This window comes from Homo sapiens, chromosome 12 (assembly GCF_000001405.40).
Source record: "Homo sapiens chromosome 12, GRCh38.p14 Primary Assembly".
Lineage (NCBI taxonomy): Eukaryota > Metazoa > Chordata > Mammalia > Primates > Hominidae > Homo > Homo sapiens.
Genome location: NC_000012.12, coordinates 132,011,772 through 132,025,444, shown reverse-complemented (window position 1 = coordinate 132,025,444; position 13,673 = coordinate 132,011,772). Strand labels below are relative to the sequence as shown.

The 13,673-nt window shown below is 50.2% G+C and overlaps 1 protein-coding gene across 1 annotated transcript in view, besides 4 other annotated features; it reads right to left on the bottom strand.

Annotated features, from left to right (window-relative positions):
* Positions 1-13,673, bottom strand: part of EP400 (E1A binding protein p400) — a 130,519-nt gene that overhangs the window by 55,016 nt on the left and 61,830 nt on the right. The window contains exons 17-24 of the mRNA NM_015409.5: positions 12,267-12,436; positions 11,781-11,955; positions 11,532-11,668; positions 7,724-7,910; positions 7,069-7,235; positions 5,227-5,396; positions 4,124-4,366; positions 1,504-1,668 (exon numbers count right to left, since the gene is read on the bottom strand). Of these exons, the coding sequence (NP_056224.3) occupies positions 1,504-1,668; positions 4,124-4,366; positions 5,227-5,396; positions 7,069-7,235; positions 7,724-7,910; positions 11,532-11,668; positions 11,781-11,955; positions 12,267-12,436 (1,414 nt within the window). The remainder of the gene's footprint in view (positions 1-1,503; positions 1,669-4,123; positions 4,367-5,226; positions 5,397-7,068; positions 7,236-7,723; positions 7,911-11,531; positions 11,669-11,780; positions 11,956-12,266; positions 12,437-13,673) is intronic.
* Positions 351-1,550: an enhancer, noted in NCBI's record as "BRD4-independent group 4 enhancer chr12:132508440-132509639 (GRCh37/hg19 assembly coordinates)". NCBI's record gives its function as "activates an origin of replication core promoter dependent on BRD2, P300/CBP, MED14 and CDK7 cofactors, and independent of BRD4, by STARR-seq in HCT116 cells {active_cell/tissue: HCT116}" and the evidence as "EXISTENCE:reporter gene assay evidence [ECO:0000049][PMID:35650434]".
* Positions 9,542-10,042: an enhancer, noted in NCBI's record as "H3K4me1 hESC enhancer chr12:132499948-132500448 (GRCh37/hg19 assembly coordinates)". NCBI's record gives its function as "activates a minimal SCP1, AML or CMV promoter by ChIP-STARR-seq in primed H9 embryonic stem cells {active_cell/tissue: H9 hESC(primed)}" and the evidence as "EXISTENCE:reporter gene assay evidence [ECO:0000049][PMID:30033119]".
* Positions 10,052-10,845: an enhancer, noted in NCBI's record as "H3K4me1 hESC enhancer chr12:132499145-132499938 (GRCh37/hg19 assembly coordinates)". NCBI's record gives its function as "activates a minimal SCP1, AML or CMV promoter by ChIP-STARR-seq in primed H9 embryonic stem cells {active_cell/tissue: H9 hESC(primed)}" and the evidence as "EXISTENCE:reporter gene assay evidence [ECO:0000049][PMID:30033119]".
* Positions 10,846-11,639: an enhancer, noted in NCBI's record as "H3K4me1 hESC enhancer chr12:132498351-132499144 (GRCh37/hg19 assembly coordinates)". NCBI's record gives its function as "activates a minimal SCP1, AML or CMV promoter by ChIP-STARR-seq in primed H9 embryonic stem cells {active_cell/tissue: H9 hESC(primed)}" and the evidence as "EXISTENCE:reporter gene assay evidence [ECO:0000049][PMID:30033119]".

The window sequence follows — 13,673 nt, the reverse complement described above, 5'->3', positions numbered from 1 at the left end:
GTATCTTGCTCCATGTCAAGAAAAGGCCATCTACCCTCTGTCCCTCATGGAAGGTGGGTGACACACAGCTGCTGAGGACCTGCCATGCTGTTCGAGGTACTGAGGCGGACATCCCCACTCCCAGATCACAGCAGTCAAGGAGAATGAAGAAATAGAACAAAACCCTGTTTTTAGCCCAGATGCCTGTGGCTTTTCTGCTGCTGTTTAACGAGGCTGCCACTTTGGATCTTGTGTGACTACATCTTTCTGACTTCTTTTACTCTGGAGAAGATAGTTTCCCAGGTCATCTCTATGAATAAACCGGCGGCCATCAGAGATGTTACCAAGCGACCCAGCCTCTGTGGGCCAAAAAATGTTTTGTTTTGTTTTGTTTTGTTTTAAGAAAAAAAAAAAGGAAGTAAACCAGACTGAATCGTTTCTCTGTGGCAGGCCTTGTTCTGCTGAGACGTGTGTGTCTCTCTAAGGAGGTCAGTGGGCTCACCCTACTGATGATGAAACCCTCCACCCTGACAAGTGCCACAGGCAGCAATCATGAGGAAAGCACTGGGGGAAGGCAGTCGCTGAGGCTGCAGTCACGGAAGGTGAAGGAAGGTGAGGGAAGGTGGGGGAAGGTGCCACCGGGGCTGCTGTGGGGGGGTGGCGGGGAGGCAGCCGCTGAGGCTGCTGTCGAGGAAGGTGAGGGAAGGTAGCCGCTGAGGCTGCTGTCGAGGAAGGTGGGGGAAGGTAGCCGCTGAGGCTGCTGTCGAGGAAGGTGGGGGAAGGAGGCTGCGGGGGCTGCTGTGGGTGTTCCTTGAGCCCTAAACAAAAACACAGGGAGCAAATGATCCCACCACGGGGACAAGGCGCCACTCAATTCCTCTCCCTCACTTTTTTTAAAGAGCAGTTACTATATAAACACACTGCTCTTCACCAAAGGTCTGGGCTTTGGGTCTGGGAGTTAAAATTAAGTCTGCTGATAGAAGAAAATGATTTCTCATACATAAAATTACTAATCCTGTGGTGTTTTAGGGACAATTTGTCTCACACCTATATTAGAAAGCAGCAAATATTTCTGTTACTTATCTATTACTTAGAGATGGGGTCTCAGTCTGTGACCCAGGCTGGAGTGCAGTGACACGATCTCGGCTCACTGCAGTTTCAACCTCTGGGGCTCAGGTGATCTTCCCACCTCAGCCTCCTGAGTAGCTTGGACCACAGGAGAGCACCACCACGCCTGGCCAAATATTTCTACTTTGATCTACAAAATACGAAACTCTCTTCAAAGCGCAGATGCTGGTAACGAAAGTGCCTGTTGTTTATCTGACACGCATCAAGTGCAGGCAACCCGGTGGCTGATGAACGTCATCTCGCTGGTCTTCCATGAACCCATGAGGTGAGATGCATCATCGGACACAGGGAAAAGCCTGACACTTAAATGCACAAGGCAGGCCCGTGGGCAGCAGGGCTCATGGTGAGGCGCTTTTGTCATTTTTGGCATCAGTGCTCTCTCATCCTTATCCTTACCTTGCAGCTGCAGCGGCTGGCCCGCTGTGAGCTGCCGGAGCTGGCTGTGTGACAGGGTGAACTTGCTGCCCTGGAACTGCAGTGTCACCGGCGTCTCTGGCTGAGCCACGCGGCTCTGTGGTCCTGTGATGGATGCCAGCTGAGCTATTTTCACTACCTCTCCACCTGTTGAAACGTAGAGGAAAAGGTGAATTCAGATCATTTTGGAAAAAATTTGGGAGTGTCATATTGACAGTCGTTTCTTGTATATAATGACCATCTATCATAAACTGAAGCACCACAGAAATGTTTATCAGGTAGTGTTTTCTACCACTTCTTAAAAATAATTATTTTAATTAAAAAGAGAAAACAAAATGTCAGATTTTAATGGTTAACTTTACTTAACCATAATTGGTTGGGATTTTAGATATCAGATATTGATATTATTAACGAAGCTATTAAGGAACATTTTACTTTTCTACCGAAACAACAAAAATAGCAGAAATCAGCTGGGTGCAGTGGCACATGCCTGTAATCCCAGCACTTTGGGAGGCTGAGGTGGGTGGATCACATGAGGTCAGGAGTTTGAGACCAGCCTGGACAACAGGGTGAAAACCCATCTCTACTAGAAATGCAAAAAAAAAAAAAAAAAAAAAAAAAAAATTAGCTGGGCATGGTGGTGGGCGCCTGTAATCCGAGCTACACACGAGGCTGAGGCAGAAGAATTGCTTGAACCCGGGAGGCAGAGGTTGCAGTGAACTAAGATCAGGCCATTGCACCCCAGTCTGGGCAACAAGAGTGAAACTCCATCTCCAAAAAAAAAAAAAAAGCAGAAATGTATTTGTAATACACTTGGAAACTCACATATGAACCTAAACTTTAGAGAACTTTAAAAATGTGAAAAGTACCTGTCCAATTTAGCTCACAAAGAGAGATTATATCTTTACAAATATAAAAAAATAACTAGCTTCAATTACACCCATAACTCTTCAAAATCTAAGAATGTATTTTTATTTATTTTGTGAGAGACAGGGTCTGGCTGTCACCCAAGCTGGAGGGCAGTAGCAGGATTATAGCTCACTGCAGCCTCAAACTCCTGGGTTCAAGCGATCCTCCCACCTCAGCCTCCCAAGCAGCTGGGCCTACAGGTGTGAGCCACGGTGTCTACAAGATCTAGCAATGCCTCTAGATACATAAAGAAATCACATACATAAATAAAGCTTTAAGATATAAAGCTTCATACTAATTTGAATTAGATGGTAAGCGTCAATCTATAACATTTACTGTTTAAAAAAAAAAAAAGTAAAACTTAGCGTTGCTTAAAACACTTTTTTTGAAAAAACATAACTCAGATGTGGTCATTTGCCCCCAACTCAAAAAGGTACTACCTTCCGGCTACAACTGAACAACAGGTTTAAAGACTTATTTCCCAATGGTTGATACTTGAATCTAAATGTTCTTCCCGAGAAATCCATGCCAGAATTATTAGTGATATGATAAAAAGAATAGTTAGTAAGAGGCTAGAAAAATGTCTAGAGATATCTTGCCCACAGAATAACCGTGAACAAGGAGGGGAAAATGAAAACAGAAGACAGAGATTTGTGCATAGAAGTGTCAATCTCTCAACAATCCTCCTTGTTCCATACACAGGTGAGGACCGACCCACAGGAAAAGCAGTTTTGCTCACTTCACAGATCTCCCAAAGAACAGCTCCTCTGGCAACCACCAACATGACTCTCATCCCACGCAAGACAGTGTCTAGTTTGATGAAGATGTAAAATATGCAACTGCTTTCTCCCTTAGGGCACTTAACTAGGACAATTCCTCTTTATTTTTGGGCAATGGGAGAGAGAGACTTGTAAGGAAAGAGAATTAGTTTGAACTCAAGTGTCTCTGTGCATCACTCCCTCTCCCATCTGCATCTTTCCAGAAAGGCCTCCACATAATTTGGCTATACCAACAACAAAAGGAGTTGAGGTGGCACTTGAGAAATAACATAATACTTTAAGTCAGGATAATTTCCACCACAGAATGAATAGGGTACATGTAAGGTTTGAAAACATACTAATCCCACTGGACACAGCAAAATGTTCTGTATTAAAAAAATTAATAACTGTGTTTTTTAAGTCATAAATTATTACAAGTTATCTTGGTTGAGCAATCCCAAGTTTAAATTTGGTAACAGGCGAGAGACTAAAAAGAGCTAATGTTTTTTAGGAACCTAAAGCTAGTTCACATGACTGGCAAGGAAGCGACCTTCCCAAATGCAGTCGCTGTCACTCTAGGAGCATCTGCTCCCCCAGAGTGCACCTGTGTGGCTGGTGGAACAAGGCCGGGGCTAACACTGGGAAGTGCCGTCCACAGCACCAAAGCAGTGAGTGAGTGCAGCAGAAAAGCAGAGCTGGATGGCGGGGTCAGGAGAGAGAGCACAGACAGGAGAAGGCCGGATGTGGCCTCCACAGAGGCGCTCCCTGCTAGACTCATGCCGGAGGCAGCTGCACTGGTGAGAGGCAGCACCGGGCATGGGGCTGGGGAAAGACAAAGGAGTGGACAGCAAGGCTCCTCCTACATCCCCGTGTTCTTAACACAACTCCTCTGGGGTAGAGAGATGGCAGAAACCTGGAAAGGTGAGGCCACTTACTGGGCAAGCGGGCCTGGGCCTGCGAGGGGAGCACCAGCCTCTGAGGCAGCGCGCTCTGCCCGGCCGCGTGCGAGGGGGCCTGGGGCTGGGGCGGGGGCTGGCCTGGGGTGGAGGCCTGTGCTGTGGTCTGGGCCCGCAGTTTCGCAGGATGGGCCGGGCTAGCGGCTGTGCTGGAGGCCGAGGCGGGCTGGTGTCGTGGAGCACTGGCGGAAGCCTGAGAGGTCTGAAACGGGGCTGCTGCTGCTGCAATCGATAAGGTTTGTTTGTGCAAAGCTGTTAGAGGTTCTTAATAAAATACAATATTTTAAACTGAATTTTAAAGAAATAAAATAAACATTTCACACCGTCTCTCAAATGAGAAGTCCCCTCTTAAGGAAAAAAAGAGGGGCCATATAGTTTACAGGGTGAGAGAAATATAATTTTACTTGTTGATAATTATCTTCACTTCGAGCTACAGTACGCTACGCGGTACATTTCTCAGAGTAAACAGAAACTGTTAGAAGTCAGCCCAACCAAACATTAGTATCAATTAGAAACTATTTCCTAAACACACAAAGAAAACATCAACAGAGCTTCCACTCATATTTCTATAGAGAATGCTGGCAACAATGCAGGTCTGAGCATTTATTTTTAGCTCAGAAAACCTGGATGGACATGGCGTGGAGGGCCCCTTTGGCCAGGTGGTGAAATACTACTTTTAACTCTTTTGATGGCCTTTTCTACTCTACCCTTCCTCAAAAGAATAATTAAGTTCAAGTGACAGCACAAAATACAATATGAGCAGACGTTCTCAGGAGTCTCCTAGACGACTGCACGCACGCACCTCTGTCAACAGAAACAGCCTGCCCAGTGGCTGTGAGCATCAGATCAACACTTATCACCTAGGAGTGAAGCTTCTTCAATAGGGAAAACATCCATTACAAGCCATCAAAAAGTCTAAAACTCATCAAGAACTAAACAAGGCACCTTCAGAAAGCCAGCGGGTGGTGCCTGTTCCCACTCAGGGACAATTACCGCATCCAGAGGCGCGAGAAGAAAGTGCCATGAACTTGTCCCACAAAAACCTCCATAAGGCGGAGAGCAGACAACTACGTGAAGTCTACCTTTTGCCTCCGGATTGGCAGAGAACGTGGCGATGGGCGGCCGTCCTCGAAGCGGGCCCTGTGGAGCAGCAGAGGCCGTGGTGGGGGCTGCCGTCCGGGGCGGGTGAGTGCTGGGGAAAGCCACGGTGCGACCCTCGGGCTTCTGGCCATACTGCACAGGCTGAAACAACCTAGATGCCCATTGGTCCAGGCAAGAAGATACAGAGCATCAGACCACAGAGAGGACAGGCCACCTCATGGAGCCGGGGTTCACCGCTGCCCATAGGAAGCCAGCTCAGGGACCAGCACCCAGAGTGCAGTTTACAGAGGGAAGGGGAAAGATGCCTAAGTACTGCTCTAGGTAAGCTCACCCCGGGCCCGGGCGCAGTGGCTAACAAGACTAAGTACACCAAAGTGGTATGGTACATCCACCCAGATTCCTGGGAATACAAGGGTGAATGCTGTTTTAACTTTCACAATCATATCAATGTAGATAGAAAACAACGCATCTATTACAGCACAAGGGCTGAGGGGAGTGAGGAGAAACATCAACTTGACAAAAGTCTGATCAAGCAGCCGTTCAAGTGATGGTTCACTGTTGCCTCAAACTCCCGGCTTCAAGCAATCCTCTTGCCTCAGCCTCTAAGTAGCTAGGAATACAGGTGTGCACCACCACGCCTGGATTTGATTTTTTTTTTTGGAGAGACAGGGTCTCCCAATGTTGCCCAGGCTGGTCTCCAACTCCTGGGCTCAAGCAATCCCGCCAGCTTGGCTTCCCAAAGCACTGGGATTACAGGCATGAGCCACTGTGCCCACTTTAAGCTGGGAACTATATTGGCCATTTTCAAAACCCCTATACAATGTAACAGGCAGAGACGGCCATCAAAAGCCATTTTTAGGCCGGGCGTGTGGTCTCACACCTGTAATTCTACCACTTTGGGGGACCAAGGCAGGAGGGTCCCTTGAGCCCAAGAGTTCAAGACCAGCCTGGCAACACAGGGAGACCTCTGTCTCTATTAAAAACTTTTATAAACTTTTTTGTAAAAAGCCATTTTAAAAAGACAGACTAGCACCCACTGGAATGGGTGCTGTTCATTTAACTGATGGCTGCAGGCTCTCTGAGGAGCAGCCTGCTGGGTCGTGAGTCCTCAAGCTAAGCAGAAACCTCTGGTACTGATGAGGGGACGGTGATCCACTCAAAGTCCCCAGTGAAGCCAAATACAGAAGTGCCAACAAGAAAGACTGCAGAACTCCTGGAATGGCAAGGATCACAAGACTGTCTGCAGAGCTGGCCCCTTCATCTCCAAATACCTATTTCCTTTCCTTTCCTTTCTTTTTAACCCAAGCATAGGATTTTGGATATTTCCAATTGCTAGATTTAGACTATGAGTCATTTATATCTCGTTTTAATCATCTAACGTGTCTGTCCCTCCCAGCCTCATGACACCCGCAAAAGCATCACTTCAGAATCACTCACATGTCACTTGTTAAGACAATGACATCACCGTGGGGGTGGAGTCCTCTGCCTGCCACACTCACGACACATGTGTGGTTCGGCCACACCAGCCTCCACCACACGAGGCACCAGGTCAAATGCAGCCCTGACACCCACCCTACCCTAAAACTGCTGCAAAGACGATCAAGGAGGTTGCTGCTCAGGGAGGCAAGCAGTTGCACTGCACCACACAGCCTAAAAGGCATCTGCAGAGCCAGGCATACCACAGCCAAGGACACCAGCAAGGTCCCAAGAGCAGCAGATAACCTAACTACATTAGCAGCCTTTCTTTTCACCACGCATAGACCTGGGTCAGCTGTGGGGGCCCTGGGAGCCAACCCTCCCCGCTGCCTCTGGGTCGCACGCACCTGCTGGCCTTCAGCTTTGCTGCTGCTGGTCGGGCTGCTGGGGCTGCTGAAGTGGAGATTTCCTCCATGAGTTTCCGCGGTATCTTTTTCTTAGACAGCAACTCTGCCTCGTGACGAGTGATTTTATTTTCTAAGCCGATGAGATCAAACATAGAAAGATCTGCTTCCTAGAGAGAAAAAGAAAAAAAGTCTTGCTGCATGAAGAGGCAAAAAAAGCACCTAAGAATCAAAACTGATTTCTATGGCAGGGCCCTAACGTGGGCATCCAGACGCGCCCCCTCTAACGGCCACTCGGCAAGCAGACCCTCCTCCGTGCCAATACACAGGTGCTGCCACACCCTTGGTGAAGCTCTGCTGATGAGCGTGCATGCTCAGCTACTTCTCACAGCCCACAATCCACACAACGCCAAGAAAGCCTGCCCTCTGCATCTTTCCACTCTGTGAGCCTGTCTCCCTCGGGTAAATTTCCGGAGGTGGAACACTCCGGCAAGGGGTGGCAGGCCATCAGTGCTGCTAGACGGTGCCATGTATCGCGGAGCTGCAATTGCAATTGCAGAAGAGCTGGTTGAGAACCCATTTCCAAGAATGGTTTTATCTATAATGTGCCTAGAAAAGATATCCAACAGTAATTCCGCTTTCTGGATCCTCCACTTACCTTCCAGAAATCTCTCTCCAGTGCCTTCAGGATTAGAGATGCGGACGGATACTCCAGTGGCCCCGCCACGTAGGAAGAGCCTGGGTGCCGGGGCTCGACGAGCCCAGGGTGGTTGCAGATGCGCTGCAGCCGCACAAGGATGCTCAGGACGTTGACAAAGTGCCCGCTCTTCAAGGCCTCCTGAGTGCTGCCCGTGGAGAAAGAAACACGAAGCATTCAATCCAAACGGCACATGGACATAGTCCCACCCTCACCATCGACTGTCCCAACTCCAGAAAGGCAGGCAGGAGCAGATTTTCTAGGTCCGCTTAATGAGTTAGACAGAGTGGCCATTCAAGTCCACATCCCAGGCAGGCCCCTCTGCACTTGTTCGCCATCCCCATTGAGAATGACATCCGCCCCACCAGAGCTGACGGAAAGACAGCCACTCCACTTCATTCACAATCATACCGAGTGCTCTGAAAGAGAAGTGGGGGCATCCAAGGGGGATGAGCAAAGTGAGGGGCAGGGTGAGCGCAGCAGAGTAAAGCCCCTCACACACCCGCTCGGCAGCTCTGACGCCTGGTCCTACACTGGCCCTGCAGGCAGTGAGCGGGGGTAGACGAGGACCCAGGTCCATGCCCTGTGCGGCTTACCACCCAGTGAAGGGGGCAGACAGAAGGACCTACAACGCACACTGGGACCAGGGCTGGGCAGGAAATGGGACCATGGTGGGGAGTAGCTCTCTGGTGTGAGCACAGTGCACCAGGCGGCCTGAGGGAGGAAACCGGGGTGATAGTGACGACAGGTAACTGGTCGGGAGAGAGACTCAGGAAGGAGATGGCAGACTTGTGGGAAGAGGAGGGAGGAGAGAGCAATGGCAAATTTCCAACTCAAACAACTTGGTCGATGGTGGCGCACACCCTAAAACAGGAACACCAGGGAGGGAGCCAGGCTTGGGAAAACACGAGCTCAGTTCTGCCACGCCGGACGTGAGGAGCTCAAGGGTCAGCTCAAGTGCAGGTGACAGAAGCTACCATGACAGCAGTACGCACCACAGAACCCAACCAAGGCCGGGTGCGGTGGCTCATGCCTGCAATCCCAGCACTTTGGGAGGCCAAGGTGGGCGGATCACTAGAGGTCAGGGGTTTGAGACCAGCCTGGCCAACATGGTAAAACCCCGTCTCTACTAAAAATGCAAAAAAAATTAGCCAGGTGTGGTGGCACATGCCTGTAATCCCAGCAACTCGAGAGGCTGAGGCAGGAGAATCACTTGAACCTGGGAGGCAGAGGTTGCAGTGAGCCCAGATCGTGCCACTGCACTCCAGCCTAGGTGACAAGAGCGAGACTCCATCTCAAGAAAAAGGAAAAAAAAGAAAAAAAAAGCAGGAGGGCTCCACAGGAGAGACGGCGCCTGGAGTCCTGAGTCCCCACACAGCTAGGCCTTGATGCGTGAGGAGCACATTGCATGGGGGCTGAGAAATGAGTGGAGACCGAAAAATGGAGACAAGCATCAGGAGAGCTCCTGTGAGCCTGGCTCTAGAGAGCAGCGGTGGGAAGGAAAAGAGGCCAGGGAAGGACTTACATGCACAAGGGCCAGGGCAAATCACATGCTTCAAAAAGAATGGCTGAGACGACGGATGGTTCCGGAGAAGGGATGGAGCTTAAAGCCCATATGAACTGGCTGGTAACAGAAAGGCAACTTGCCCTGGCTAACAGGAACCAGGAGAGGCCGGCACAAGCACAGGGGGGTCTGGGCAGGTAGGGAGTCTGGTCTGGCAGCTCTGGAGCTCGTGGTACAGAAACATGGGTGCCACCCTCACGGCAGCGGGTGTGGCATGGTCCCTGCAAGAGGAGGGGGGAGCTGACCAGGACAGGACGCTCCTGGGCCACCCAAGGATCCCGTCAAGCACCAGACAGCGCCCAAACACTTGATTACCAGGTGCTCCAGGGGGGCGAGGCGTGCGCACACCTAATGCACTAAAGCTTGATTTCACAGGCCCGGAAAGAAAGAGGAAAATGTGCTTGAGGAGTCCAAGCGCTCTCCTGCCATTAACCCAGGGAGCAGATGCCACAAAGCTGGCCTAAGACCAGCAGAATAAGACGTGCTTTCCCCCAACAGGTCCCAGGGCCACCAGCCTCTCACACCTCAGACGACACTGCAACCCTGAAGGCAAACCACCATATTGTGTGGGCACAACCACAGAAGGGCAATGGGTCGGACTCCCTAAGACGGTCTCTGTACGCAGGGCGTGGTCAACGTGACTTCCCTGATAGGCTGGCGCTCAAAACCTGCATAAAGTTATGAGTCCTCTCCACTCAAATGACAACTAGTATGTTACCAAAGCTGACATAGGCTGATTTCAGTATTCTACTGAAAAATCTGACACCAGAGCTTCAGCAACATGGCAAAGCGGTTTCTGTCCACACATACAAAGTTTCTACAATGCTTGGAGAGTCTCGCCACTAATGGTGTGGAATGAAGTGCTGCTCCACTGCTCCGCCTCTTGGAGAAAGGACGGTTGTACTGTGTCATTTGTGGAGGACTGAGAAATTCCACAGTCATCATGCACACTTACCTTCCCTCCTGAAATCTCCACTCACCAGGATTAAGCATGCTGCATTCACAGGCACCTGCCTCTCGAGGGTGCCCAGGCTCCACATGCGCATGCACAGAACCCTGGCGAGCCCATGAGTGCACGCCCTCTGGCTGCAGAGCAGAGGATGAGGCACAGAGAGGGAGACCCAGAGCAGAGGATGAGGCACAGAGAAGGAGACCCAGAGCAGAGGATGAGGCACAGAGAGGGAGACCCAGGACGGGGGGTGGGGTGTGGCTAGCATGGCCTCACCCCTAGTCTCCACAAACCACAGTCTGCTGTGCCACGGCCAGAGTGCACTCATACGATCACCTGGCGTCTGCTCCCGCCACAGCACCTCATCAGGGTCCCCATGTCATCTCCCCACAAGGAGGGGAGCACATCAGCACGTGGCTGGGGGAAGAGTGGGGTCACCTGATCCAGTGTGTCTGACTGTGCCTGTGAGGGACGCTGAGGCTGAGGTGGCACGGGGTAGGGGGTAACCCTGCAGCAAAGCCTCATGGCCACACCCCCAGCAGAGAGTGAGGTGTGATGACTAAGCACAGATAAATTTCAAATCCTCCAAAACTTGATTTCCAGGGTTTTTTGTGTTTTTTTCATCTAAACTCAGGAAAATGGAAAGCCTGACAGACCAAAACCATGCACATCTGAAGACCTCGGAGAGGGTCAAAGGGGGCCCCACACTCTGTGTCAACTCAAAGGGCACAGCTTCTGGCACCAGCACGTCCCTGCCAGACAGAGGCACAGCGGCTGGCCATCACATGGTGTGCATTGCGTGGCGCATTCCACCCCATGCAACGCACGACTCATTGCGCCACAGACACCAGCGTGCCACCTCCGGTGGGCCACAGCCGACCCAAGTCCTGGGGCCTCCAGCTGGCTGTGGGAAGGCGAGCTGCTCAATCACCATCCCTCCCGGATGAATGGAAACTAAAATTCACAGAATTCTCTGGGCAACACAGGGAGCAGCACCAGGACACCACCCTACACGTGGGCAGCTACACAGGAGTGGGGCTTCTGAGACGGGAAGTGCAGCAGGACCAGCATGAGCCTGAAACAGCTGGAAACACCTGAGGCTGCAGAGCCTGCTGCCCCCAGGAGGGTGCCTCGGTCTCCAGCTCCAGACACCCAATCCTTGCGGAAAGGAGCTTTCTGCTGAGGCCACAGAAAGGGCCGTTTTCCCTCACAGGCAGGGACAGCAAAGGGGGCACATGCCCAGAGCCCACACTCACCCAGGTTGCAGGATAACGTCCTCGTATAAGGCTTTTTGTCGGTTAGAAAGGCGACACTTCAAAACATGCTCATATTTCTTTGTTAGTTGCTTTTCCACATCTCTCTTAGTTCTCCTCAAAATAAATGGCTGTGTCACCTGAAAATAAAAACTGTTTACTGTTTTCTTTCCAAAAATGCTGCTGTAACACGTTTATAACAAGGCATACGCATGTTTAATTAATTAACTGAAATGGCAGAACCCAACCTACCCTGTGTAACCTTATGACCACTTTATGGTAGTAATCCTGGCTCTCTTCACTGGGGGCCCTCAGAGGGGAGCTCAGGTAGGGCCTGGAGATCCCTGGGACCAGGAAGTGCACCATGGTCCAGAGCTCCAGGAAGGTATTGTGCAGCGGCGAGTCGATCAGAAGCAGACGTTGTTGGCTGCAAACAGGACAAGAGACAACACTGGAGTTCTACAGCCACGGGGCTGGCTGCAGCAGCATCTTCTCTGACAATGTGTGAGAAAAGGGACAGTAATTTGACACCGCAAATGTCAACGTGCACATGCCTGAAAAGGGGGGCTGCACTGACCCAGCTCTGGGGCTCTCTGGCCCATGTGCTGGGATGAAGATGAAAAGCAATTCTCTAGCTCAAAGGCCATTGTTTGTGTCTGCAATTATGCAGATTTCTTCAAGAGAATCTTCTACATCAACAGCAAAGAACACTCAATGACAAGCGCGTAACACACAGACCTCTGCAGGGTGAAAACCGCTTCCCAGTGCCTCTCGGTCATGCCCTTCACGCGCTGCATCTCATCAATGACCAGGCACTTCCAGCGCACTCGTGTGAAGGCGGTGAGGCCCCGGAAGAACTGAGTGTAGGACGTGATGCAGACGTGGAAGCTGTTGGGTTCGGCCCACTCCTGCAGCACAGAGAGGACAGCTCAGTGCCTTCACACTCCACTGTCTTTCAAAATCACCTTGAGGACACACACTTCCCAAAGCTTGCCACCCAGTGACTCCGTTCCCACCTATAATTTTACTTGCTTTTTTAAATAACTTGCTATTACCGCACAGAAAACGGCTGTGTTTATGTTTTTATCTCTACCTCTAGGGGTCTAAAGCAGTTTCGTTGACAAATTAAGAAGCTATTTTGCAGGCGCTGACAATTACCATTTGGAAAATACTGAGATTATGGCAGAGGATCCTGAAGCAGGGCGAGCTCTTCTAGTATCTAATCAAAACAAGGGGAAGTGTGCTCAGAAAAATAAGAGATGTCAACATCTGTATTGCAACTGACTGCATTATACACTTTTTAAAAACAAACTAAAAGCCAGACATAGTACTATGGCTTGAATGTGTTCCCTCCAAAACTCATGTTGAAATCTAATGCCCATGGTGGTAGTATTAAGAAGTGGAGACTTCCCTGCTCTCAAGGATGAACTTGTGCAGTATGAAAGGGCTGGAGGGAACCAGCTTGGACCCTTTTGCCCTTCCATCCCTTCCGCCATGTCCCCTCCAAAATGTGCAGCAGCAAGGCCCCATCTGGGAAGCGGAAACCAGGCCCTCACCAGACACTAAATCTGCTGGCATCTGGATCTTGGACTTCACAGCCTCCAGAACTGTGAGAAATAAATTTCTATACTTACAAATTACCCAGTCTGTGGTATTTTGCAATAGCACCAAAAACAGACTACAATAGTAAAAAAGAAAATACTACTGAAAGCTCACTTTTTCAGTAAACACTACTCAACACAATGATGTCTAATGGTCCAAAACGTTCTACTCAATGGAAAACTGTGATGAATCTACCTTCAGTGACCTAGTACTAGAAACTATAGGGCAGACAAAAATCTTTAATAAGTTAAAATTTGTTCCAGAAACGTTATCTATTAGGCATGTTGTGGAAATGGTTCTATGGGTTTTAAATTCAGAGCTGGGAGCACCTAGCTTCTCCTCTGTGCCTGTGGAAGCCAGCAGGGCCTCCAGGGGGAAAGTGTTGCACTGTCCCAGAGAATACCATTTTCGGAGCAAACTGCCCCACTTTCTGGGCAGTGACACTGAGATCTGTGCACACCTGGGCCTGCGAGTGCGTGGCCCTCCTCACAAGGAATGGCCAGGCCGATGCGGTATTGTCTATGCTTTCGAGGGGAACAACAT